The 2,736-nt window shown below is 39.8% G+C and overlaps 1 annotated feature.

Annotated features, from left to right (window-relative positions):
- Positions 1,220-1,420: a silencer, noted in NCBI's record as "peak5798 fragment used in MPRA reporter construct". NCBI's record gives its function as "represses an SCP1 promoter by STARR-seq MPRAs in K562 erythroleukemia cells {active_cell/tissue: K562}" and the evidence as "EXISTENCE:reporter gene assay evidence [ECO:0000049][PMID:32103011]".

Consider the following 2,736-nt stretch of genomic DNA (forward strand, 5'->3'; position numbering starts at 1 on the left):
CTTATTTCACCTGGGTGCAGGTGGGCTGAGTCCGAAAAGAGAGTCAGCGAAGGGAGATGGGGTGGGGCCGTTTTATAGGATTTGGGTGGGTAGTGGAAAATTACAGTCAAAGGGGGTTTTTCTCTTACGGGCAGGGGCGGGGGTCACAAGGTGCTCAGTGGGGGTCACAAGGTGCTCAGTGGCTCTGAGCCAGGAGAAGGAATTTCACAAGGTTAATGGCTCAGTTAAGGTGGGGCAGGAACAAATCACAATGGTGGAATGTCATCACGTAAGGCAAGGAACCAGCCTTTTCACATCTTTTGTGATTCTTCACTTGCTTCAGGCCGTCTGGACGTCTAGGTGCAGGTCACAGGGGATACGATGGGTTAGCTTGGGCTCAGAGGCCTGACAAGTGTAACTATGTGGAAAGGGTGCCATGTATAAGTACTTGCGCTGGCTCCACAACCACCTAAATCAGTTTTACTCATCTGTAAAATGAACCAGTTAGACTTACTGCTTTCTAAAGACTTAAGCTGACTGAAGAAGAGTTTGTTTAAATCCATTTTATTGTTCTAAAACAGTGTTTCCCATCCTCAGCATGAATAACATTTTGGGCCAGATAATTCCTTGTTTGGGGACTGTAAAGTATATTGTCAGATATTTACAAGGGCCCATGGTCTCTACCTATTATATTCCAGGAGCATTTACCCGCTGACTTGTAACGGCAAAGACTATTTTCAGATATCAACAAATTTTTCTCAGGGAGCAAAACTGCCACTGGTTGAGAGCCACCTTCAATAGCTTCTCATTGCCTACAAAAATGCACTCATTTGCTGATTTTTAAATATTATTTATTGAGTACTTACTGGGACAAAATATAGCTAAGACTCAGTCCCTGCTTCAAGGAATTCATATTCTAAGGAGGAGGACAGACGTAATTATAATCTAATATGGCACATATAATGAGTAAGAGAGATGCAGAGGAAAAAGGGAGAAAATCATTGAGGGTGAAGATAGAGGGAGCTCAGAAATCTTTTTGGAGAAACTAGTGACGAAATGGAACATTGAAAGATCAGCAGAAATTAGCCAGGGATTCCCAGCTGAGGGGCTAGCATGAGAAAAAGCAGAGTGGTGAGAAAAACTACCCACAGCCACAGTGCTCTTTGAACCGGGGACTGGTAAGGATGAATCCCTTCAGGGACAAAGAGACCACCTCCACCCCCCAAAACTTAGCCGTGTATTATCTCTTTTAACATCCCATTCTGGGAAAGCAGTTCAGAACCCTAAAGGGTTCCCAGCCAGTGTTACTGCTGAGTCCATAATGGAGCAATACTGTCATGGAGCTCTCCAGGGTGCTGAACTATGTCCATCTGAATCCCTTTTACTCAGTAGCTTTCTACCTGGGCACCTGCCTAGGACCCTGCTCTTCCTACTTATGCTTGCTGCTCTTGGTTGATGTCATATAGTAGAAAGAGCATAGGTTTACCAATCTAAATGAACCTAACTAGGGGAGAATCAAATAAATGATCAATTATTTTTATAAATTATAAATTGTGGTGGATTCCTATGAAAGAATATTACACAATGTTTTGGTGGCCTTATAGTTGTTTTTTAAAAGTTTATTTGAAAATTTATATATTTCCTGTGATACCTATACTAAGTATACATTTCTTGGAAAAAATACTATTTAAAATAATAATAAAGAGCTTTGGAATCAAATAGACTGGGATGAGAATTCTTATTCTGCCACTTAATAGTTGTCTGACCTTGGGTCAGTTAATTTAATCTCTCTGGCCATTGTTTACTCAACTGCAAAATGACTAGAAAAGAGACAGACCTTCAATAATTCCCCAATGCCTACCATGCAGTCCACAGTGGATATTGACCAGCTCAAGTACATGCATCTACTTCTATGTTGCTAAGTAAGGGAGACACTCAGCAAATTCTTGTTTGTTATTACTTACCTCACCATTTGGATGTCCAATTTTCTACTACAGCAAAGGCAATTCTGATGTATAATGAGGTGGAAACAAGCCTTTTAGGCACAGACTGACAGTGCCCTTCCCACCTCCCATTCTTGGGCCCTTCATTAGAAACAGTGCTCTGGAAAAGAACTGACTCTGAATTATAATGCCCATGCCATTTCCACACTTGGCTCCCAGTAAATTAGCATCTAGACCCTTACCCTCATGGCAAGATACTGTAAGACCATTCCTTGGGTAACTAACCATCTGGAGAATAAATACCTAAAGATATTGGGTGTTCTCCAAACAAACAGCGCAGCCAGATAACCCTACTTTGAAGCTAAGTTGACAGGCCTCGCCCACTTGCTGAGAATTTCCTATTAGTTTTTTTTTTTTTTAGCTGTCTATTCGTTATCATGAGCATACAGTCAAGTTTTACATATAAGGAAAAGCTCTAATATGGAAGAAAAAACAATTTGGCAGAAACAAAAACTATGCAGGAAAATTTTATTTCCCAAATAAATTTTATAATCAATATTCATTGAGAAGTAAAAGAAATTCCATGAAACAAGAACAGTATGCTATAAAAAAGGAATACTTAAGGAGATTACAAAGCTCTTAAAAATTAAAAAAAGATAAGGAAAATGAAAAACCCTGAGAAGGAAGAAATATTGAAGAAATATCACCTCATTTCCATCTCCCTCCTCATAAAGAGCAAAAATATACAGAAAGAAACTAAAAGGAAACAGATGAAACTGAATAGAAGACCAGTCACGAAGTTTCAATACTGCAA

Source organism: Homo sapiens, chromosome 6 (genome assembly GCF_000001405.40).
Source record: "Homo sapiens chromosome 6, GRCh38.p14 Primary Assembly".
Taxonomy (NCBI): domain Eukaryota; kingdom Metazoa; phylum Chordata; class Mammalia; order Primates; family Hominidae; genus Homo; species Homo sapiens.